Source organism: Homo sapiens, chromosome 7, assembly GCF_000001405.40.
Source record: "Homo sapiens chromosome 7, GRCh38.p14 Primary Assembly".
NCBI classification, from domain to species: Eukaryota; Metazoa; Chordata; class Mammalia; order Primates; family Hominidae; genus Homo; species Homo sapiens.
In genome coordinates, this window is record NC_000007.14 from 105,385,687 (window position 1) to 105,409,806 (window position 24,120).

General features: G+C 46.0%; 1 protein-coding gene across 26 annotated transcripts in view, besides 7 other annotated features; it reads right to left on the reverse strand.

The window, feature by feature from the left end:
- SRPK2 (SRSF protein kinase 2) overlaps nt 1-13,671 on the reverse strand; it is a 284,618-nt gene extending 270,947 nt beyond the window's left edge. For 15 of the 26 annotated variants that reach the window (XR_007060151.1, XR_007060150.1, XR_007060147.1 and 12 more), the window contains exons 1-2: nt 3,558-3,705; nt 2,962-3,016 (exon numbers count right to left, since the gene is read on the reverse strand). Coding sequence is in view for 12 of the 26 variants with exons in the window: in XM_024446895.2 (XP_024302663.1) it covers nt 2,962-3,016; nt 3,558-3,684 (182 nt within the window). In the remaining 14 variants the exon portion in view is untranslated. Of the gene's footprint in view, nt 1-2,961; nt 3,017-3,104; nt 3,236-3,557; nt 3,706-13,469 lie in introns of those variants that run through there. The other 11 variants (XR_007060153.1, XR_007060148.1, XR_007060152.1 and 8 more) reach the window with 3 other exon arrangements.
- Nucleotides 2,386-2,485: a silencer, noted in NCBI's record as "silent region_18516". NCBI's record gives its function as "represses an Ori minimal core promoter by ATAC-STARR-seq in GM12878 lymphoblastoid cells {active_cell/tissue: GM12878}" and the evidence as "EXISTENCE:reporter gene assay evidence [ECO:0000049][PMID:35858748]".
- Nucleotides 2,586-2,705: a silencer, noted in NCBI's record as "silent region_18517". NCBI's record gives its function as "represses an Ori minimal core promoter by ATAC-STARR-seq in GM12878 lymphoblastoid cells {active_cell/tissue: GM12878}" and the evidence as "EXISTENCE:reporter gene assay evidence [ECO:0000049][PMID:35858748]".
- Nucleotides 3,046-3,175: a silencer, noted in NCBI's record as "silent region_18518". NCBI's record gives its function as "represses an Ori minimal core promoter by ATAC-STARR-seq in GM12878 lymphoblastoid cells {active_cell/tissue: GM12878}" and the evidence as "EXISTENCE:reporter gene assay evidence [ECO:0000049][PMID:35858748]".
- Nucleotides 3,206-3,275: a silencer, noted in NCBI's record as "silent region_18519". NCBI's record gives its function as "represses an Ori minimal core promoter by ATAC-STARR-seq in GM12878 lymphoblastoid cells {active_cell/tissue: GM12878}" and the evidence as "EXISTENCE:reporter gene assay evidence [ECO:0000049][PMID:35858748]".
- Nucleotides 3,286-3,335: a silencer, noted in NCBI's record as "silent region_18520". NCBI's record gives its function as "represses an Ori minimal core promoter by ATAC-STARR-seq in GM12878 lymphoblastoid cells {active_cell/tissue: GM12878}" and the evidence as "EXISTENCE:reporter gene assay evidence [ECO:0000049][PMID:35858748]".
- Nucleotides 3,436-3,605: a silencer, noted in NCBI's record as "silent region_18521". NCBI's record gives its function as "represses an Ori minimal core promoter by ATAC-STARR-seq in GM12878 lymphoblastoid cells {active_cell/tissue: GM12878}" and the evidence as "EXISTENCE:reporter gene assay evidence [ECO:0000049][PMID:35858748]".
- Nucleotides 18,195-18,380: a silencer, noted in NCBI's record as "fragment chr7:105044328-105044513 (GRCh37/hg19 assembly coordinates)". NCBI's record gives its function as "represses an EF-1alpha promoter that drives an FKBP-Casp9 reporter gene in an ReSE screen in K562 erythroleukemia cells {active_cell/tissue: K562}" and the evidence as "EXISTENCE:reporter gene assay evidence [ECO:0000049][PMID:32094911]".

Sequence of the window (24,120 nt, forward strand, 5' to 3'; positions counted from 1 at the left end):
GCCCAAATGCCATTTCTCAGAGAGTGGACTCTGGTCCCGGGCTGCCTTGATTCAACAGCTGGGCATGTTACTTACTTTTCCTGTGTCCCTGTTTCACCTGTAAAATGTCCGTAATAACGGTGCCTACCTCTTAGGGTTGTCACAAGGTATATGTAAAACAATCGACAGAGTGACTGGCACAGTGTTCAAATGTCATCTATTATTATTACTTAACATGTCCCATCTTCATTTTCTTCCTATCCCTTAGCCCTATCTGAAATTATCTTGTCACCCTCTTTGTGGTTTTCCCCAAACCTCCCAAGGTTAGCTTTGCAAGGAGCTTTGTCTTGTTCAAAACTCTATCACCGGCCGGGCTTGGTGGCTCACGCCTGTAATCCCAGCACTTTAGGAGGCCGAGGCGGGCGAATCACGAGGTCAGGAGATCGACACCATCCTGGCTAACACGGTGAAACCCCACCTCTACTAAAAATACAAAATATTAGCCGGGCGTGGTGGCGGGCGCCTGTAGTCCCAGCTACTCAGGAGGCTGAGGCAGGAGAATGGCGTGAATTCGGGAGGCGGAGCTTGCAGTGAGCCGAGATCGCGCCACTGCCCTCCAGCCTGGGCAACAGAGCAAGACTCGGTCTCAAAAAAAAAAAAAAAACAACCTCTAACACCATCTCCGAAGACAGACATGTAAATACCTATTGAAGACATGAATAAATAAATAACATCAAACAGTTCTTTTAAATAATATCTTGATTCAGGTCGGGCACGGTGGCTCACACCTGTAATCCCAGCTGTGTGGGAGGCCGAGGCCGGTGAATCACCTGAAGTCAGGAGTTGTAGACCAGCCCGGCCAACATGGTGAAACCCCGTCTCTACTAAAAAATACAAAAAAAATAGCTAGGCTTGGTGGCGGGTGCCTGTAATCCCAGCTACTCAGGAGGCTGAGGCAGGAGAATCCCTTGAACCTGGGAGGCGGAGGTTGCAGTGAGCCAAGATTGGGCCATTGCACTCCAGCCTGAGCGACAAGAGCGAAACTCTGCCTCAAAAAAATTATTAAATAAAATTATGACTTGATTCAAAGAGTTAAGTGAAAAATGGCAATGCCTCAATCAGTTATATAATTGGGCTGGTCCCGTTACCTTACAGACTAGAGCCAGTTCGTTTCATCATTAGCTGGTGTGTTATTTTCCCCCTCAAATTCTATCACATATACACAATACACAGTGGGAGAAACTGGCAGATTAATCTGTGAGAGGAAAAGCTGAGTACTGTGGCTATTCACTAAGTCTTCATCAACATACCACATAAATCCAAACTGCGGCCCACCAAAAAGGCCCTCGACCATTAGGAAAATCATACTCTAATATATGCAAATACAAGACACATATTGACTTAATTAGAACTGTTTTTCCACATGTACGTAAAGGTAACATGCACATATACGTGTCTATTTGTATATACATGCACACATAGCCATCTCCGACACTGGGGTCATACTTTTTCCACTTGTTTTTATGTTTCTGAGTATAACAGACTACGTGGAATTAAATCAATGCTTTGAATTAAGAGCTGTGATTAAAACACAGTACTTATTCAGAATCCTAAACATTACAGTTCTCCTTACCACTGGGTAAACTTCCATGGTTCACCAAAGGAAATCTCAAATTTAAGGTTGTAATTCACTTGAAAGCTAGCACTAATTTTTTTAAAAGCAACCAAAACTACCAAAAATCCAGTCCATTTTAACATCTTATGAATTCAATATCCAATTTTTACCGACCAATTAGTTCTTCAACTCTTTAGGAAGTGCTTTCCCCTTACTCTAATGGTTTTTTCTTTTTTTTTTTTTTTTAAGGTATTTTTAAGTCACTATCCACATTTTGTGAAACTGAAGGACCAAGGCCAACGAGAAGGGGAAAAAAGTGAGCGTGCTGCGACGTACCCCTCAAAGGAAACAACCAAAAATGTTTCTGGATTTTATTAAAGATAATGCTGGATTCTCGTTCCCCACAGTACCAAAGATGCCACACAGAGTATTCTTGCTCAAAAGAGCGAAGCAATTAATCTAGAGGAAGAGATAACGATGTCGAACGCTGGTAAATCAAAAAAATTAGGAGAGAGGAGTGGAAAAGGAGAAGACGCGGCGGCGCTGTGCGGTCTCGGAGCAGCTCTCCAGGAAAGGGTTCTTGGGCAGCGGCCCCCCTGCTCGGGTGAGCGGCCAGGCTGGAGGTGGCCGCCACGGGCGCGTTTTCCACTCCGACCGGCTCCCGCGCACACGCCCACCGCCCTGCGCAGCCCGCGACCCCGGCGCCCGCAGCGCACCCAAGTCACGCTCAACCCGAGCGGAAAGTTTCGAATCCAAACCCGAGAGCCGAAACGCACAGGTCTCGGGGCTGAACTCGCGCCAGGAACACGCCCGAGGCAAACCACTTGACAACCAGCTTAGGTTCTCAGCAGAAAGGCCGACAGGCGGGGGCCGGGGAGGAAGGGGAGGCGAGACACACGCCCTCCCGCACACTCGGCCCCTCCGCCTCCTCGGCCCGCGGCTCAGGTGGGAGCAACGCAGCCGCTGCACTCCCGCAGCGGGCGGGCCGGAGCCCAGCGGCAGACGCCGGGGCCCCTTCCGGAAAGGGCCGCGACCCCCGGGCCAGCTCGCGGGCAAGGGACGGGTGCGCACGCCCTGCCCGGCGCCTTTCCGCCGGCCTCCCGCCCGCCGGCCGGTGGCGACCCGGGGCGGGAGGTCGCGGGGTCGAGGCTCCGTGATGCTAGGGAACCGGCCGCGGCCCGCGCGCCCCTCCCCCGCCGCCGCCCCTCCCCCCGGGCCGCCCGCCGGGGGCAGGAGCCGAGCGCCAGCGTCCCGGGGGACCAGCCCGCCCGCCGGCCCGGGGACCCGGACAACTTTCCCCTGCGCGGCCGCGGGCGCCCCCGACGGGGCGGGGGTGGGGAACGGGGACAGGCGCAGCGTGGACTCACTTTTTCGGATGTTTCTCTCTTTTCGGCCTCCGCTTTCGGGCCTGAATGGCCAGCACTGGGGAAGAGAAGACACACATTAACGGTCGGGCCGCCCGCCCGGGCTGGCCGCGTGGCGGGGAGAGGGCGCGCCGCGGGCCACTCACCTTTCCGGGAGCTCATTCCGACGCGGCGGAAGCGGGGCGGGGGGCTTCGCGACGGCGACGCGGGCGCCGAGACGAGCTGGGCTGCAGCCTCCACTCGCTCCGCCGGCCGGGAGGAGACGAGAACCGCGCCTGCGCCGCCGCCGCCGCCGCCGCTCCAGCAGGGACCCAGCAAGACCCGCCCCCGTCCGGCCCCGCCCCCGCCCCGCCCCCACCCGCCGGCCCCGGGGGTCGGGACCCCAGCGCCGCGCGCCCAGCGCCCCGCGCCCCCGCCCCACCCACCTGTGCAGAAGTGGCCGCCGCCCATGGCCGCGCTGGCCCTCGGCCTCCCCCACCCCAGCCCGCGGCCCGGGCCTCCGCCTCCTGCGATCCTGCGGCTGGCCCAGGCCGCCCGCCTCTCCCGGGCACCGGACCCGCGGGACCCTCCCTCCCCGCCGCGGCCTCTCCCCTCCGCACCCCGGCCGGTCGCGCCGCCCGCTGCTCCATGCGCCCGTCCTTGGCCGGCGCCTCCGCGGGTCTCGCACCACCTCTCTTCCCGCGGCCTCTTCTCTCCCTTTGCTCCTCTACATCCTTGCAACCCCATGAGCGCCGCTTCCTCCTCTCCGGCAGGCGTGGAAAGGGCACACGACCAAAAGCTGGGAAACCTGGGTCCGCGATTAGCGGTGTGACCTTGGAGAAGTCATTTTCTCTCCCACCTCTAAGTGCCCTCCAGGATTGCATGAGTTTAATGAAGGAAAAGATACAGATAGCATTCAAGGTAGGACAAAGGTTTTGCACATGAATTGAAACTCGCTTCCGTAAACACCAGGTGTATAACAATTCAAAACAACAATCACACCAAGTAGTTATTTTCTGCATCCTACAATGAGGAAACTGAGTCCCAACGAGGTTAAAAAGTTTAACCAGCCAGGATCGAAATTCAGGCCTGGCCGTCGACAAACCACCTTATCAGGCTGCCTACAAAAGATGTGAATCAAGTTGATAGTGACACAAAAAGATAACTGCAATGTTCTCTTATTTATGTAAATAATTACAATAGTTTTTGAAAGATACGCATTCTGACTATTAACTCCCTCATTGGTCACACAACTGTATCTTTGACAAGGTGGCTTACACTAAGGATGATAAATCAGAACGGGAAACTCTGCTTGGATTTTGAAGAGTCCTTAACTTTTTATATTCAAAAAAATATCAAACCCTATAGAAAAGTTACAAGGAAAATACAATTAACAGCCAAATTAACCCATATTCACCAATTTTTAACATTCTGCCACATTTGCTATCTATGTGTCTGTGTGTATGGTTTATTTTGCTGAATCACTTGAGTTTTTGTAGACACTGTTACCCTTTATCCCTAAATATTTCAGTACATATCTACTAAGAATAAAGATAATCTCCCACATAATCAGAATTCCATGATCACTCCAAGAAACTTTCATACTAATACAATGTAATCATCTGTAACATACAGGCCATATATATTCAATTTTGCAAAATATCCCAGTAATATCCCTTGTCGCTGATTTTCTTTTTTTCCCAATTAGTCTACCATTAAGGATCATCCGTTGCATTTAATTGTCATGTCTTTTTAAACACCTTTAGTCTAGAATCATTCTTGGTTTTGTGTTTTGGTTTTCTTTCTATTTATTTATTTATTTTGAAATGGAGTCTCACTCTATCACCCAGGCTGGAGTGCAGTGGCGCAATCTCAGCTCACTGCAACCTCAGCCTCCCGGGTCCAAGCCATTCTCCTGCCTCAGTCTCCCGAGTAGCTGGGATTACAGGCATACACCACCACATCTAGTTAATTTTTGTTTTTGTTTTTTTTTTTTTTTTTTTTTTTTTAGTAGAGACAGGGTTTCACCCTATTGGCCAGGCTGGTCTCGAACTCCTGACCTCGGGTCATCCACCCACCTCAACCTCCCAAAGTGCTAGGATTACAGGCCTGAGCCTCGGCACCCAGCCTTTTTTTGTTTTGTTTTGTTTTGTTGTTTATAACATTGACTTTTTTGAAGAATCCAGTTCCACCATTTTGCAGAATGTTCCCTGTTTTGGATTTGTCTGTTTCCCTATGATTAGATTCAAGTTAAACAATTTTGTTGGCTATACTATAGATGATGTTGTATTCATCTTAGTGCATCAAAATATGATGTCAGTTTGTTCCATTACTGGTGATGTTACAGTTAATTATTTCTCCAAGATACAGGTACCTTTTCCCTCTGTATTTAAGAAGTCTGTATGAAAAATGAGCAAAGGATTTGAATGGACATTTCTCCAAAGACATGCAAATGACCAAACTAGCATGTGACAAGAGAATTAACATCATTAGTTGTTAGGAAAATACAAAGCAAAACTATAATGAGCTACTACTTCACACCTACTAGGATGACTATAAAATTTATTTATTTATTTATTTATTTATTTATTTATTTATTGAGATGGAATTTCGCTCTTGTTGCCCAGGCTGGAGTGCAATGGCACGATCTCAGCTCTTCGCAACCTCTGCCTCCCAGGTTCAAGTGATTCTCCTGCCTCAACCCTCCGAGTAGCTGGGATTACAGGCATGTGCTACCACGCCTGGCTAATTTTGTATTTTTAGTAGATCTGGGGTTTCTCCATGTTGGTCAGGATGGTATCGAACTCCCAACCTCAGGTGATCCACCTTCCTTGGCTTCCCAAAGTGCTGGGATTACAGGCATGAGCCACTGCGCCCGGCTAAAAATTTTTGTAATGGAAAATAAGGCCAAACGTGATGTCTCACAAGTGTAATCTCAGCATTTTGGAGGCTGAGGCTGGAGGATCATCTGAGTCCAGGAGTTGGCGGCTGCAGTGAACTATGATCGCACCACTGCACTCCAGCCTGGGCAACAGAGTGAGACCCCATCTCAAAAAAAAAATGTTAATGGAAAAAAAGTGTTGGTGGGGATTTTGGAACCCTCATATGTTGGAAACATTGAAACCCTCCTACATTTCTGGTGGGAATGTAAAATGGTGCAGTTATTATGGAAACAGTCTGTTGGCTTCTCAGAAAGCTAATTATAGAATTAACAGCAATTCCACTCCTAGGTATATATGCACAAGGACTGAAAACAGATACTCAAACAAATCTTTGTACATGAGTGTTCATAGCAGCGCTATCACAGCCAAAAGGTGGAAAAAACCTAAATGGTCATCCATAAATGAATGGATAAACAAATTGCGGTATATACATACACTGGAATATTTTTTTGGCCATAAAAAGAATTTAGTACTGACACATGCTACAATGTGGATGAACATCAAAAACATTATGCTAAATAAAAGCAGCCAGACACAAAATGTCACATATTGTATGATTCCATTTATATGAGATATCCAGAATAGGCAAATCTACAGAAAGCAGATTGGTGGTTGCCAGGAGTTGGGGGGTGGGAGAAGGAGGGAGCAACTGCTTAATGGGTACCAAGTTTTATTTTGGTGTGATGAAGATGTTTTGGTGCTAGATAGAGGTGGTGGTGGCACAACATTGCTAATAGACTAAAAGCCACTGAATTGTTCTCTTTAAAGTGGTTTCTTTCATTTAATGTGAATTTCACTTCAAAACAAAACAACAAAGTTACTTGTGTGGGGTGATACTTTGAAACTGTGTGAATATCTCTTCCCTGACAATATCTCAATGGGTTGGCATCCATTGATGATTCTTGCCTAAATCAACTATTACCACACTGGTTGTAGAACAGTGATTTTATAATCCTATCATTTTTGAGATGGGCATCTTGCTCTGTTGCCGAGGCTGGAGTGCAATGGTGTGATCTCAGCTCACTGTAACCTCCACTTCCCAGGTTCAAGTGATTTTCCCACCTCAGCCTCCCAAGTAGCTGGGACTACAGACGCACACCATTTGTATTTTTAGTAGACACGGGTTTTCACCATGTTGGCCAGGCTGGTCTGAAACTCTTGGCCTCAAGTGATCCACCTGCCTCTGCCTCCCTAAGTGCTGGGATTACAGGTGTGAACCACTATACCCAGACTTAAGTGATATTCTTTTTTTCTTTTTTTTTTTTGAGAGAGGGTCTTGCTCCGTCGCCCAGGCTGGAGTGCAGTGGTGTGATCTCCGCTCATTGCAACCTCCGCCTCCCAGGTTCAAACAATTCTCCTCCCTCAGCCTCCCAAGTAGCTGGGACTACAGGCATGTACCACCACACCCGGCTAATTTTTGTATTTTTTTTTTTTTGGTGGAGAGGGGAAGGGAAGTCTCGCTCTGTCGCCCAGGCTGGAGTGCAGTGGCGCGATCTTGGCCTAACGCAACCTCCGCCTTCCAGGCTCAAGTGATTCTCCTGCCTCAGCCTCCCAAGTACCTGGGATTACAGGCACCCGCCACCACTCCCGGCTAATTTTTTTGTATTTTTAGTAGAGACTAGGTTTCACCATGTTGGCCAGGCTGGTCTCAAACTCCTGACCTCAAGTGATCTGCCTGCCTCAGCCTCCCAAAGTGTTGGGATTGCAGGCTTGAGCCACCGCGTCCAGCCTAATTTTTGTATTTTTAGTGGAGATGGGGTTTTACCATGTTGGCCAGGCTGGTCTCAAACTCCTGACCTCAGGTGATCCGCCCACCTTGGCCTCCCAAACTGCTGGGATTAAAGGCGTGCACCACCGCATAAGGAGGAGCTTTTATTTCTCCCTCTGGTTTTTCTTTTTTTTTTTTTTTTTTTTTTTTCCCCTCCTGCTCCTCTGCCTTTTTTCTTTCTTTCTTTGTTTCTGGCTTGTTTTTTGTTTTTGGTATCAATATTGACAAAAATTACTGTCACTATTTTTTTGTTGTTTTCAGAGGACAGGGTCTCACTCTATGGACATGAGCCACCACATTCGGCCTTTTTATTATTTTTAAAAAGGCTTTATTGAGATATAACACATACATGCAATTCAGCCATTTTAAAATATAGAATTCAGTGTTTTTTAGCATATTCACAGCGTTGTGCCAACCACTACCACAATCTCATTTTAAAACATTTCTGCGCCAGATGTGGTGGCTCTCATTTATAATTTCAGCATTTTGGGAGGCTAAAGTAGGAGGATCACTTGAGCCCAGGAGTTCAAGGTTAGGGAGGTTATAGTGAACTATGATCGCGCTGCTGCATTCCAACCTGAGCAATAGAGCAAGACACTGTCTCAAAAAAAAAAATTGCTCCCCCCAAAAAGAACTCCATACAGATTAGCAGACACTCCCCATTTCCTCCAACTTTCCCCTGCACTAGGCCTAGGCAGCCACTAATGTACTTCCTGTCTCTATAGGCTTGCCTGTTCTGGACAGTTCATGTAAATGGAATCATACAATACGTGGCCTTTTGTGGCCAGAGTCTTTCTTTCTTTCTTTCTTTCTTTTTTTTTTTTTTTGAGACGGAGCCTCATTCTGTCGCCCAGGCTGGAGTGCAGTGGCATGATTTCGGCTCACCGCAACCTCTGCCTCCCGGGTTCAGGCGATTCTCCTGCCTCAGCCTCCGAAGTAGCTGGGACTACAGGTGCACACCACCATGCCCAGCTAATTTTTGTATTTTTAGTGGAGATGGGGTTTCACCATATTGGCCAGGCTGGTCTCAAACTCCTGACCTCATGATCCGCCCGCCTCGGCCTCTCAAAGTGCTGGGATTACAGGCGTGAGCCACGCGCCCAGCCAATTTGTGGCCAGAGTCTTTCACTTAGCCTAACATTAAAACCCATTTCTGCTACTTAATTTCTGCACGACCTTTGGCAAGTTACTTAATTACAACATCTGGAAAGTGATAACAACATGTACTAATACTAGTCCTCATAGGTCAGTTCGATAATCAAATAAGATAAATATCCAATAATAGTAATTCTTAACAGTTGGGAGATACATCGCCAATCTGTTTGTTGGATTTTTGCATTCAATTTTCAACAAATACTTATCAAATACCTATTATGTAGCAAGCATTATTCTAGACACTGATTCTATAGCAGTGAACAAAGCACACAGAAATGTCCCTGCCTTCATGGAGCTTACATTCTACTGCCAGAAAACAGAAAATAAACAACATAAATATGTGAAATATATATTATGTTTACTAGATGGTGATCATTTTTATTTAAAAACAAAACAAAACAGCCGGGCGCGGTGGCTTACGCCTGTAATCCCAGCCCTTTGGGAGGCCAAGGTGGGCGGGACATGAGATTGGGAGATCGAGACCTACCATCCTGGCCAACAAGGTGAAACCCCATCTCTACTAAAAATACAAGAATTAGCTAGGCGTGGCGGCACATGCCTATAATCCCAGCTACTCAGGAGGCTGAGGGAGGAGAATCACTTGAACCTAGGAGGTGGAGGTTGTAGTGAGCCAAGATCTTGCCACTGCCCTCCAGCCTGGGCAACAGAGTGAGACTCCATCTCAAAAACAAAACAAAACAAAACAAAAAACAGAAAGTGACTGGATGGAGTGGTTCACACCTGTAACTCTAGCACTTTGAAAGTCCAAAGCAAGAGGATTGCTTGAGCCCAGGAGTTCAAGACTAGCCTGGGGAACATAGTGAGACCCCCCCACCTCTATCAACTAAAAAATAAATTTAAAAAAAAAACTGAAAGCAAAAAAAATCAACAATCTGTTGGGAGTATGGTTCAAGAAGGCCTCACCGAGAAGGTAACACTGAATTAAAGAACTTAAAGCTGGCTGGGCACAGTGGCTCATGCCTGTAATCCCAGCACTTTGGGAGGCCAAGGCGGGCGAATCACCTGAGGTCAGGAGTTCCAGATCAGCCCGGACAACATGGTGAAACCCCGTCTCTACTAAAAATACAAAAATTAGCGGGGTATGGTTGTGCACCCCTGTAATCCCAGCCACTCAGGAGGCTGAGGTGGGAGAATTGCTTGAACCTGGGAGACAGAAGTTGCAGTGAGCCGAGATTGCACCACTGCACATTCCAGCTTGGGCAACAGAGCAAGACTCTGTCTCCCAAAACAAAAAAAAAGAACTTAAAGCTATCTTGCCAGTCCTTTTTACTTCTATAAATTAGAAGAAAACTATCTTTGCAAATCAGATATTTATGAATTGCTTTGAATTTATTGAATTAAAGTATACCAAATTAATTATCAATTAGCTTTACACATACTATAGTGATGTTTTTTAAAATTATTTTTATTTATTTATTTTTTTGAGACACAGTTTCACTCTTGTTGCTCGGGCTGGAGTGCAATAACATGATGTCGGCTCACCGCAACCTCCGCCTCCCAGGTTCAAGCGATTCTCCTGCCTCAGCATTCCAAGTAGCTGGGATTACAGGCATGCGCCACCACACCTGGCTAATTTTGTATTTTTAGTAGAGACGGGGTTTCTCCGTGTTGGACAGGCTGGTCTCGAACTCCCGACCTCAGGTGATCTGCCTGCCTCGACCTCTCAAAGTGCTGGGATTACAGGCATGAGCCACCACGCCCGGCTAGTAGCTTTTAGAAAGAATGGTAAGTGGGGCACAGAGGTGCTCACCTGTCCTGTCAGCTTCAGTCCAGTAGTTTGACTCCAGTAGTTGAGTCCAGCCTGAACAATGAGACCATACATCTTAAAAAGATAAGTTAAATGATAGCCAGGCGTGGTGGCTTCATGCCTGTAATCCCAGCACTTTGGGAGGCTGAGGCAGGCAGATCACGAGGTCAGGAGATAGAGAACATCCTGGCTAACACGGCGAAATCTCATATCTACTATAAATACAAAGCTGGGCGTGGTGGCAGGTGCCTGTAGTCCCAGCTACTTGGAAGGCTGAGGCAGGAGAATGGTGTGAACCTGGGAGGCAGAGCTTGCAGTGAGCTGAGATTGCGCCACTGCACTCCAGCCTGGGCAACAGAGCGACACTCCGTCTTGAAAGAAAGAAAGGGAGAGAGAGAGAGAAAAGAAGAAGAAGAGGAAGAAGAATAGTAGGAGGAGAAGGAGGAGGAGGAAGGGGAGGGGGAGGGGAGAAGGAAGAGGAGGAGGAGGAGGAGAGGAGAGGAAAGAGAGAGAAAGAAAGAGAGAGAAAGAAAGAAAGAGAAAGAGAAAGAAAGAAAGAGAGAAAGAGAGAGAGAGAGAGAAAGAAATAGAGGGAGGGAGGAAGGGAGGAAGGAAGGAAGGAAGGAAAGGAAGGAAGAGAATTACAAACCTAGTCTCTGTTGACTTTGAAATTAAGTATTTCTTCAGAAATGCAGCACAATGTAGAGTGACATTTTATTTTTTTATTTTTATTTTTAGTGGATGCTTTTATTATTGTTTTTACTTATTTTGTTTCTTTGAGATAGAGTTTGCTTCTTGTTGCCCAGGCTGGAGTGCAATGGCGTGATCTCAGCTCACTACAACTTCCGCCTCATGGGTACAAGCAATTCTCCTGCCTCAGCTTCCCGAGTAGCTGGGACTACAGGTGCACACCAGCACACCCAGCTAATTTTTGTATTTTTAATAGAGACGTGGTTTCACCATGTTGGCCAGGATGGTCTCGATCTTTTGACGTCGTGATCCACCCGCCTCGGCCTACGAAAGTGCTGGGATTAAAGGCATGAGCCACCATGCCCGACCCCCTTGAGTGACTTTCTTTTTTTTTTTTTTTTGAGATGAAGTCTCATTCTGTTGCCCAGGCTGGAGCACAGTGGCATGATCTCGCCTCACTGCAACCTCCGCCTCCCAGGTTCAAACAATTCTCCTGCCTCAGCCTCCTGAGTAGCGGGGACTATAGGCACACGCCACCATGCCCGGGTAATTTTTGTATATTTTTTAGAGACGGGGTTTCACCATATTGGCGAGGCTGGTCTCGAACTCCTCACCTTGTTATCCACCTGCCTCAGCCTCCCAAAGTGCTGGGATTACAGGCATGAGCCACCACACCTGGCCTAGAGTGATATTTTAAAGTAATTTTTTTTTTTGGGAGACTGAGTCTCACTCTATCACCCAGGCTGGAGTACAGTGGCACCATCTGAGCTCACTACAACCTCCGCCTCATGGGTTCAAGAGATTCTCCTGCCTCAGCCTTCCGAGTAGCTGGGATTACAGGCACCTAGCACCATGCCCTGCTAATTTTTTTTTGTATTTTTAGTAAAGACGGGGTTTCACCATGTTGGCCAGGCTGGTCTTGAACTCCTGACCTCAAGTGACCCACTCACCTCGGCTTCCCGAAGTGCTGGGATTACAGGTGTGAACCACCGCACCCAACCGGTTTTAAAGGAATTTTTAAGATAAATAATGTAATGAGGATGATTTAAACTTTTTTATTCGACCATATTTATTGCATAAATGAAATTAGTTATGCAAATATTATAATTAATAAAGGGAAGTATTAAATATTTATAAAACTGGATATATTTTGGTCTCCATAGCAGTCCAAAATAAGTGAAAAAGGCAGTACATATGTATTTTTCCCCAATCTGTTACAATGAAACTCAAAATGTCCACATAGTATTAATTTTTCCCAAATGTAATAGAAAATGAAAAGAATGTTGTAAAACCAATTGGATTATGATATCTCCCAGTGGAGTCACTAAATCATGTTGCATCTTAGAAGGTGTATTTAATACGTCATAGAATTGGAAAAAGACGGGAAGTCATATCACCCGTCTTGGGGCCTTTAATGGATGAAAACCCAGCCTCCTTTTTTTTTTTTTTTTTTTGAGACGGAGTTTTGCTCTTGAAGCTCAGGCTGGAGTGCAATGGCGCAACCTCAGCTCACTGGAACCTCCGCCTCCCAGGTTCAAGCGATTCTCCTGCCTCAGCCTCCCTAGGAGCTGGGATTACAGGCATATGCCACCACGCCTAGCTAATTTTTGTATTTTTAGTAGAGACTAAAATTTTAGGGTTTCACCATGTTGGCCAGGCTGGCCCAAGCCTCCTTTTAAAAGCACCTCCAAGGCTTTTAAATTCTTTAAAGTTTATTTATATCTAATCTGCCCATTCAATTATGAAGCTTAAACCTGTCTTTTGTTGTTTCACTATAGCGTACTTCTCAGTGGCAATAGCACCATCATAATAGTGTAACATAGAAGAGAGTGGCAGAGCCAGACTGCCAGAGTTCAAGGGCTAGTTCTGCCATTATTTACCTGGGCCAGCTTGAGCAAATTAGTCTCTCTGTGCCTTAACTGCCTGATCTGCAAAATGTAGATAGTAATATTACCTACCCTACAAATTTGTTGTGAGGATTTAATGAGTTAATTCCCATAAAATACTTGGAGGAGTACCTAAGCATGTCTGTTTGGAGGATTAAATGACTTAGTTCACATGAAACACTTATAGAAGTATCTAAGCATTCAATAAATATTAGCTGATCATATATATGTGCCATGTTAAGCAATGTGTTATTTATCTATTGCTGTATAACAAATTTCTCCCAAATTTAGTAGCTTAAAAAAATAAACATTTCATAACTCACAGTTTTTGTGGTCCAGCAATTTGGGAGCAGTTTAGCTGGTGAGTCAAGATGTCACTTGAGGCCGCAGTCATCTGAAGGCTTGACGGAGGCTGAAAGACCTGTTACCAAGATAATTCACTTGCATAGCTGTTGCAGAGGCCTCATTTCCTCACTGCACGGACCCCTTCATAGGACTGCTTGAGTGGCTGGCTTCCCCCAGAGTGAATGATCCAAGAGATAACAAGGGAGAAACTTCAATGCCTTTTATGACCTACCCTCAGAAGTCACAATCCATCATTTCTGCCACATTCTAATCATCAGAAATAAGTACAGCACATGCTTAAAGAAGGGGAATTAAGTCCCTTTCTGGAAGGGAGGATTATCAAAGAATGCTGGACATATTTTAAAATCACCACAAGGGGTCATTCCTTCTTTCCTTTAAATGCCTCTGATTTCAAGTGAGAATCTTTAGAGGCTCTTATTCTGCTATTTATTTAAGCAGTAGATATCAAAGGGAATTTTCAGTTCAACATTCAGACAAAACAAAAAGGAATAGGGACTGGATTGTCTAGAGAAAATCACCAATAGTGACAAGTTTGTTATAAATAAAATAGTATAGGAGACTCTTACATAAGCCAGTTCAAAAATGATGCCCAAAGATTTACCTGGGGCTGTATTAAAATTTAGAATAATGTCTAATATGCCAGGACATAATCAAATAGATTAGAAGATCTGGCCATAATCTGTGCTAAGTTTAACACCCTGGGCTCCATTTCTTCCAAGTCTTAGAACATGGATATAGCTCTGATATAATACTCATTTCTCAAATGCTTGAGCTCTCTGAGTATAAGAATTTGCTTGCCGGCCGGGCGCGGTGGCTCACGCCTGTAATCCCAGCACTTTGGGAGGCCGAGACGGGCGGATCACGAGGTCAGGAGATCGAGACCATCCTGGCTAACACGGTGAAACCCCGTCTCTACTAAAAATACAAAAAATTAGTTGGGTGTGGTGGCAGGCGCCTGTAGTCCCAGCTACTAGGGAGGCTGAGGCAGGAGAATGGCGTGAACCCTGGAGGCAGAGCTTGCAGTGAGCTGAGATCGTGCCACTGCTCTCCAGCCTAGGAGACAGAGTGAGACTCCGTCTTAAAAAAAAAAAAAAAAAAAAGAATTTGCTTTCCATTTTATTGTAACTAATGAAAGAGATTCAATGTAAAAAAATTTTTTTTATTTTTTTTTATTTTGAGACCCTCTGTTGCCTAGGCTGGAGTGTAGTGGCACCATCTCGGCTCACTGCAAACTCTGCCTCCCCCAGCACTTTGGTGAGGCCCAGGCAGGCAGATGACTTGAGGTCAGAAGTTCGAGACCAGCCTGGCCAACATGGCAAAACCCCGTCTCTACTAAAAATACAAAAATTAGCCAGGCGTGGTGGCAGGCACCTGTAATCCCAACTACTCAGGAGGCTGAGGCAGGAGAATCACTTGAACCAGGAGGCAGAGATTGTGGTGAGCCGAGATGGTGCCACTGCACTCCAGCCTGAGCAACAGGTTAAGACTCCATCTCAAAAAATTAAGAATAAAAAAAATAGTTTGGGCACGGTGGCTCACATCTGTAATCCCAGCACTTTGGGAGGCCGAGGCAGGCAGATCACCTGAGGTCAGGAGTTTGAGACCAGCCTGACCAACATGGTGAAACCCCATCTCTACTAAAAATACAAAAATTAGCTGAGCATAGTGGCGCGCGCCTGTAATCCTAGCTACCAGGAGGCTGAGGCAGGAGAATTGCTTGAATCTGGGAGGTGGAGGTTGCGGTGAGTGGAGATGGCACCACTGCACTCCGGCTTGGGCAACAAGAGCGACACTCCGTCTAAAAAAAAAAAAAAAAAGACAATTGCATATTACCAGTATCCCAAAAGTCCCCCTCCTCTCTCCTCAGTCACTGCCCCTACCAAGATAGCCTCTATTCTAATTCCTAACCCCACAGATTCATGCTGCCTGCTTTTAAATTTTATGGAAATGGAACCCTACACTAATTACTCTTGTATTTGGCTGGTTTTTTTCAACGTTTTGTTTGTGAGCCTCACCCATGTGTTGTCTGTACAATCTTTTCATTGTTTTATAGTATTTCATTGTATGAATATGCCATATTTTAAAAATGTCTTCACATTATTTATTAAACTACTATCTCAGCCCCAAACCCACCATTCTATTATCAGCTTTGTGAGGGGGGAGTTGTGGCCACATTTGTTTATTTGCTGTTTTGTTTTGTTTTGTTTTGGTTTGGTTTTGAGACAGAGTTTCGCTCTTGTCGCCCAGGCTGGAGTGTAGTGGCCACATCTTGGCTCACTGCAACTTCCGCCTCCCAGTTTCAAGCGATTCTCCTGCCTCAGCCTCCTGAGTAGCTGGAATTACAGGCATGCACAACCACGCCAAGCTAATTTTTGTATTTTTAGTAGAGACGGGGTTTCACCATGTTGGCCAGGCTTGTCTCAAACTCCTGACCTCAAGTAGTCTGTCCACCTAGGCCTCCCAAAGGGCTGGGATGAGCCACGCCAAGCCACATTTATAATAGAGGAAATGTGATCTTATTTCTCCTTTGCCAATGTGCTCCGCCATTAATTCTGCCAGTTGGGGTCACTAGAGGGAGACTGGAAGCCTGGAGAAGAGGAACAGGAGCAGGGAAATGTTACTTCCTGTTTGCTGGCCTTTTGGTCACCGTCGTCTCAGCACTGGCTCTTTATCACAGGGACAGCAATGGTTCCAGTCCCAGGTTTCACGGAGCTCCTCAAATCAGCCTCATTATATTCCCCTAGAAATAATAGCAACTCCTGGGAGTACTCCCTCTTTATACATCTGGGTCCCAGCTCCCTCCTCTAAGCTTCTGAGGTCTGATAACCCTTACTGCTAACTGTGTTTCCCAGCCCCAGATATGGGTGCTGATTCCTGATTTATTAGTGGGTTAGTTCAGTATCCCCTTTACTTAGTTCTCTAATACCTGTTCAAACAAACAATTCGTTAATTTTTTTATTATAAAATAATTGGTCCAGCTGGGCACAGTGGCTCATGCCTGTAATCTCAGCACTTTGGGAAGCCGAGGTGGGCAGATTGAGACCACCCTGGCTAACATGGTCTCTACTAAAAATACAAAAAATTAGCTGGGCATGGTGGCACGCGCCTGTAGTCCCAGCTACTCAGAAGGCTGAGGCAGGAGAATCTCTTGAACCTGGGAGGCGGAGGTTGCACTGAGCTGAGATCGTGCCATTGCATTCCAACCTGGGCGACAGAGCGAGACTCCATCTCAAAAAAATAAAAAATAAAATAAAATAAAATAATTGGTCCAACTTCAATAAAAAGTAAATAATTTCTGTGTCCCCCCTAGATTCTGATGGATAGGTGATTCCACCAGTCATCGGTGATTGGGTTGTCTCCAACTTAAGCTATTATGAATAATGTTGCTGTGAACACCCTTATATGAGGTTTTTGGTGAATATGTGTATATATTTAGAAATGGAATTGCTGAGTCATAGGTTATATCTGTGTGCATTTTTAGCACATACAGCCAAAAGTTTTCTAAAATGGTTATACTAGTGATTGCATTGATTTTAAAGCATTCCCAGTATTTCACATCTAATCCTCAAAACTTTTTAAATTTAGAAAAAAGTCAATACACTTCATACTTTTTTTTCTTTTTTTTTTTTTTTGAGACAGGATCTCATTTTGTCACCAGGCTTGGACTGCAATAGCACAGTCTTGACTCACGGCAGCCTCGACCTCCTGGGCTCAAGTGATGCTTCCACTTCAGTCCCCCAAGTAGCTGGGACTACAGGTGCTACCCACCACGCCCGCTAGGCTTTTTGTTTTTTGATTTTTGAGATGGAGTCTCACTCTGTCGCCCAGGCTGGAGTGCAGGGACGCCATCGCAGCTCACTGCAACCTCCGCCTCCCGGGTTCAAGCGATTCTCCTGCCTCAGCCTCCCTAGTAGCTGGGATTACAGGTACATGCCACCATGCCTAGCTAATTTTTTTGTGTTTTTAGTAGAGGCAGGTTTCACTATGTTGGCCAGGCTGGTCTTGGAGCTCCTGACCTCAGGTGACCTCCCCTCCTCGGCCTCTCAAAGTGCTGGGATTACAGGCATGAGCCACCACGTCCTGCCTTTTTTTTTTTTTTTTTTAAGACAGGGTCTTGCTGTGTCGCCCAGGCTGAAGAGCAGTAGCACAATCTCAGCCTCCCAAGCAGCTGGGATTACAGGTGCCCACCACCAGACGCGGCATATTTTTAGTAGAGGTGGGGTTTCTCCATGTTGTCCAGGCTGATCTCAATCTCCTGACCTCAGGTGATCATCCTGCCTCAGTGTCCCAAAGTGCCATGATGACAGGGCGTGAGCCCTGGCTTCCACTAAATTTTATTGTTTGTTTTTTATTGTTTGTTTTTTGTAGAGACGGGGTTTCCCCATGTTGCCCAGGCTGGTCTCAGACTCCTGAGTTTAAGCAATTCTCCCACCTCAGCTTCCCAAAGTGTTGGGATTACAGGTGTGAGCCACAGCACTCAGCCTGTAATTTAATTTCTACTCCAGAATCAATTTTTCTTTTCCTTCCTTCCTTCCTTTCTTCCTTCCTTCCTTCCTTCCTCCCTCCCTTCCTTTCGACAGCATCTCACTTTGTACTCCAGAATCAATCTTTCTTTTCCTTCCTTCCTTCCTCCGTCCTTCCTTCCTTCCTTCCTCCTTCCCTCCCTCCCTCCCTTCCTTTCTTTTGACAGCGTCTCACTTTGTCACATAAGCTGGAGTGCAGTGGTGAGATCTCAGCTCACTGCAGCCTCGACTTCCCTGGCTCAAGCAATCCTCCCACTTCAGCCCCAAAAATAGCTGGGATTACAGGCGTGAACCACCACGACCAGCTAATTTTTTGTAGAGATGGGGTTTCACCATGTTGCCCAGGCTGGTCTCGACCTCCTGAGCTCAAGTGATCTGCCTGCCTTGGCTTCTCAAAGTGCTAGGATTACAGGCGTGAGCCACTGGCCTTCTATTCCAGAATTTTTATATTGCAATGTTAAGAAAACTAAAGTCTGGGCCAGGCACGGTGGCTCATGCCTATATATGGCGGGGCACAGTGGCTCACACTTGTAATCCCAGCACTTTGGGAAGCCAAGGTGGGCAGATCACCTGAGGTCAGGAGTTCAAGAACAGCCTGACCAATATCGTGAAATCCCATCTCTACTAAAAATACAAAAATTAGTCAGGCGTAGTGGCATGCACCTGTAGTCCCAGCTACTCGGAAGGCTGAGGCAGAAGAATCACTTGAACCCGGGAGGTGGAGTTGTGGTGAGCCGAGATTGCACCACTGCACTCCAGCCTGGGCAACAAGAGTGAGACACCATCTCAAAAAAAAAAAAAAATACAAAAATAGGCCACACATGGTGGTGCATGCCTGTAGTCCCAGCTACTTGAGAGGCTGAGGTGGGAGGATCACTTGAGCCTGGGATATCAAGGCTGCACTGAGCCAAGATTGCACCACTGCACTCCAGCTTGGGTGACACAGCAAGATCCTGTCTCAAAAAAAAAAAGAAAGTTTAAACCTATTTTTTTGTACAGTTGAACCAATGTGAAATAGTAATGTAAATGGAGGCCAATCTTGCCTACAGACTGCTCAGTAACCCCATCACATATACCACTGGGCTGTTGTAGATAGGCAGGTCTCAGTTTCTACAGGTTGCTTCTATTGACCTCTGAGACACATTCCTCTCCTCGCAGTCTGCCTAAATGAATTGATCAGGAGCAGACGCAACACAACTGTGACAGGGATCTGCTTATAGACTGGGCAGCCTTGTATCTGGCTCATCAACCTCATAGTTCAAACCCTCACTGAAGAATCTTTAGAACCGGATCCCTTTAAGATTTATTCTTACAGGGCCTCAGACTTCAAGGTGCCCCCCTAAACCTCTGTGATACTGTAAGAATGATCTGTGTAAGCCCCAAGGCAAAGTTGTTTGCTACATCTGCAGGCCCCACATGAAGCAGTCACAAGCCAAACTCTCAAGCCCCAATGGGTTTCTAGCACCAGCTGGGAGTTCAGGGTTCCTGACCTGAGCTCAACATGGAGAAAAAGTAGCAGCTTGGTGGAAGTTATTAATATAGAAGCCTGACCAGCATCTATAACTCTTAAATCCACTCAAGAATAATCAGGGCAGGGGAGAAGGAGGAGGGGGAGTAAGGCAATATATACATTTGTTTATAAAATAACAGTTATGCTTTCTAAATAACACAGTTACCAATTGCATGAACTTATTTTTTTTTTTTTTTTTTTGAGACGGAGTCTCGCTCTGTCGCCCAGGCTGGAGTGCAGTGGCGTGATCTCGGCTCACTGCAAGCTCCGCCTCCCGGGTTCACGCCATTCTCCTGCCTCAGCCTCCCGAGTAGCTGGGACTACAGGCGCCCGCTACCACGCCCGGCTAATTTTTTGTATTTTTAGTAGAGACGGGGTTTCACCGTGTTAGCCAGGATGGTCTCGATCTCCTGACCTCGTGATCCGCCCGCCTCGGCCTCCCAAAGTGCTGGGATTACAGGCGTGAGCCACCGCGCCCGGCCTTTTTTTTTTTTTTTTTTTTTTTTTTTTTTTGAGACGGAGTCTCGCTCTGTCGCCCAGGCCGGACTGCGGACTGCAGTGGCGCAATCTCGGCTCACTGCAAGCTCCGCTTCCCGGGTTCATGCCATTCTCCTGCCTCAGCCTCCCGAGTAGCTGGGACCACAGGCGCCCGCCACCGCGCCCGGCTAATTTTTTGTATTTTTAGTAGAGACGGGGTTTCACCTTGTTAGCCAGGATGGTCTCGATCTCCTGACCTCATGATCCACCCGCCTCGGCCTCCCAAAGTGCTGGGATTACAGGCGTGAGCCACCGCGCCCGGCCTGCATGAACTTATTTTTATGCGTAAAACACAGGCAATCGCCCTGGCACAGTGGCTCACACCTGTGATCCCAACACTTTAGGAGGCCAAGGCGGGCGGATTACTTGAGGTCAGGAGTTCAAGACCAGCCTGGCCAACATGGTGAAACCCCATCTCTACTAAAAATACAAAAAAAAAAAATTATCCAGGTGTGGTGGCAGTGCATGCCTGTAATCCCAGCTATTTGAGAGGCTGAGGCAGGAGAATCGCTTGAACCCAGGAGGCAGGAGGTTGCAGTGAATCAAGATGGCGCCACTGCACTCCAGCCTGGACATCAGAGCGAGACTCCATCTCAATAAATAATAATGATAATGATAATAGGGTCGGGGGCGGTGGCTCACGCCTGTAATCCCAGCACTTTGGGAGGCCAAGGCTGGCAGATCACGAGGTCAGGAGATCGAGACCATCCTGGCTAACATGATGAAACCCCATCTCTGCTAAAAATACAAAAAATTAGCTGGGCATGGTGGCGGGTGCCTGTAGTCCTAGCTACTCGGGAGGCTGAGGCAGGAGAATCGCATGAACCCGGAAGGCAGAGCTTGCAGTGAGCTGAGATGGCACCACTGCACTCCAGCCTGGACAACAGAGCGAGACTCCATCTCAAAACAAAACAAAACAAAAATAATAATGATAACAAAACACAGGCAACCAAAGTAAAAATTGACAAATAGGATCACATCAAGTTAAAATGCTTCTGCACAACAAAGGAAACACAGACAACAAAGTGAAGAGACAACCCAGAGAATGGGAGAAAATATTTGCAAACTATCCCATCTGACAAGGGATTAATAACAAGAGTATATGAGGAGTTCAAACAACTCAACAGGGAAAAATCTAATAAGCTGATTAAAAAATGGGCAAAAGATCTGAAAAGACATTTCTCACAAGAAAACATACAAATGGCCAACAGGTATTTGAAAAGATGCTTAACATAATTGATCATCAGAGAAATGCAAATCAAAACTACAATGAGATATTATCTCACCTCAGTTAAAATGACTTTTGACCAAAAGGCAGGCAATACAAATGCTATTGAGGACGTCGAGAAAGGGGAACCGTTGTACACTGCTGGTGGGAACGTAAATTAGTAAAGCCACCATGAAGAACAATATGGAGATTCTTCAAAAAACCAAAAATAGAACTACCATATGATCCAGCAATCCCACTGCTGGGTATACACCCAAAAGAAAGGAAGTCAGTATATTGAAGAGATATAAAGTCCCATGTTTATTGCAGCATTGTTCACAATAGCCATGATTTGGAGGCAACCTAAGTGTCCAACAACACACGAATGGATAAAGAAAACGTGGTACAGCTGGGCGCAGTGGCTCATGCCTGTAATCCAGGCACTTTGGGAGGCCAAGGCAAGTGGATCACCTGAGGTCCGGAGTTCGAGACCATCCTGGCCAACATGGCGAAACCCCCATCTCTGCTAAAAATACAAAAATTAGCCTGGCCTGGTGGCAGGCGCCTGTAATCCCAGCTACTCAGGGAGGCTGAGGCATGAGAATCACTTGAACTTGGGAGGCAGAGGTTGCAGTGAGCCGAGATCACACCATGCACTCCAGCCTGGGCGACAGAGCAAGACTCTGTCTCTAAATAAATAAATAAATAAGATCTTGTCATTTGCAGCAACATGGGCGGAACCGAAGTTCATCATGTTTTATGTATTTATTTATTTATTTATTTACTTATTTATGAGACAGAGTCTTGCTCTGTCGCCAGGCTGGAGATCCCGGCTCACTGCAACCTCCGCCTCCCAGGTTCAAGCGATTCTCCTGCCTCAGCCTCCCTGAGTAGCTGGGGCTACAGGCGTGTGCCACCACATCCAGCTAATTTTTGTATTTTTAGTAGAGACGGTGTTTCACCATGTTGGTCAGGCTGGTCTTGAACTCGTAACTTCAGGTGATGCACCTGCCTCGGCCTCCCAGTGTGCTGGGATTACAGGCGTAAGCCACTATGCCTGGCCAGGTCATCATGTTAAGTAAAGTAAGCCAGGCAAGGCTGGGCGTGGTGGCTTGCGCCAGTAATCCCAGCACTTTGGGAGGCCGAGGTGGGTGGATCACCTGAGGTCAGGAGTTCGAGACCAGTCTGGTCAACATGGGGGAACCCCGTCTCTCCTAAAAATATGAAAAAATTAGCCGGGCCTGGTGGTGGATGCCTGTAATCCCAGCTACTGGGGAGGGTGAGGCAGAAGAATCGTTTGAACCCAGTAAGCAGAGGTTGCAGTGAGCTGAGGTCACTCCACTGCACTCCAGCCTGAGCAACAAGAGCAAAACTCCACCTCAGAAAAAAGAAGAAATAAGCCAGGCACAGAAAGGCAAACTTTGCATGTTCTCACTCATTTGTGGAAGCTAAAAGTTAAAACAATGAAACTCATGGAGATAGAGAATAGAAAGATGGCTACCAGTGGCTGCAAAGGTTTAGTGGGGAGAGGGGAGTAAGGATGGTTAATGGGTACAAAAATATAGTTAAAGACCTAGTACTTGATAGCACCACAGGGTTATTACAGTTAACAATAATTTGCTGTACATTTTAGAATAACTGAGAGAGACAATTGGAATGCTCATAACACAAAGAAATGATGAATGTTTGACATGATGGATACCACATTTATCTTGATGTGATTACTACACATTGAATGTCTGTATCAAAATATCTCATGTACACCATAAATATATACATCCAACATATACCCATAAAAATTAAAAATTAAAAAAATTTAAACTTATTTTTATATACTACAGTACTCGTATGTTAGGTGTGCCTTTCTTCTGATTTTAAAAGTAATACAACTTATTGAGATTCCATTTACAGAGTAGTAAAAACAATCCATAAAATACAGACTTTTTCATTGACAAAATGTTGAGGAAGCAGATATACTTGGCTATGAAATACAAATAAATAAATTAATTAATTAATTAATTTATTTATTTATTTATTTATTTTGAGACAGAGTCTCACTCTGTCGCCCAGGTTGGAGCAACCTCCACCTCCTGGGTTCAAGTGATTCTCCTGCCTCAGCCTACCTAGCAGCTGGGATTACAGGCGTGTGCCAACACACCCAGCTAAAAATAAATTTATTTTTGAATCTCTGGTGTGTAAGGCATATTTTGTGACTCATCACTCATGGACTTATAGCAAATGGATGTCTCTTTTCATGCGGTATTTGTTACCGGAGAGGAAGTAAACATGCTGTGAAGTCTTCATGCAAAGTGATAGAGGTTCTTTCTATGTCTGACTTCTCAGACATTTCTTCAGTTCTCATGCTCTCCCTCTCTTTTCTCTTTCCTGTATAATGCTAAATGTATAGTCCCCCAATACTTAAGGAATCTGGTTCTTGCAAGTTGGGTGTTGCCTCAGTTGCCTTTTGGTGCAAAAACAAACAAGCAAAATTAATAGCTTAAGACAACAGTGGTTTATTGTTTCTCACAATTCTGTGTTACGTTGGTTCTCTGGGAGGTTTTTCTTCTGGTCTTATGAGCTCAGTCATCTTGCTGCATCCATCGGATGGGTCAGCTGAAGCTGGTGGTCCAAGAAAGCCTCATCCATATATCTGGAGGTTTGGCAGGACTGACTGGAAAGGTGGGCCCTCTCTGGCCATGTGGTCTTTCATCATTAAATCGTCTGTCTGAGCTTCTTTAAATTTCAGGTCCCAAGAAAGTGGAGGCACAAGCTTTTGCAGGGTCTAGAACTCACAAAATGTTAGTTCAACAATATTCTTCTTCTTCTTCTTT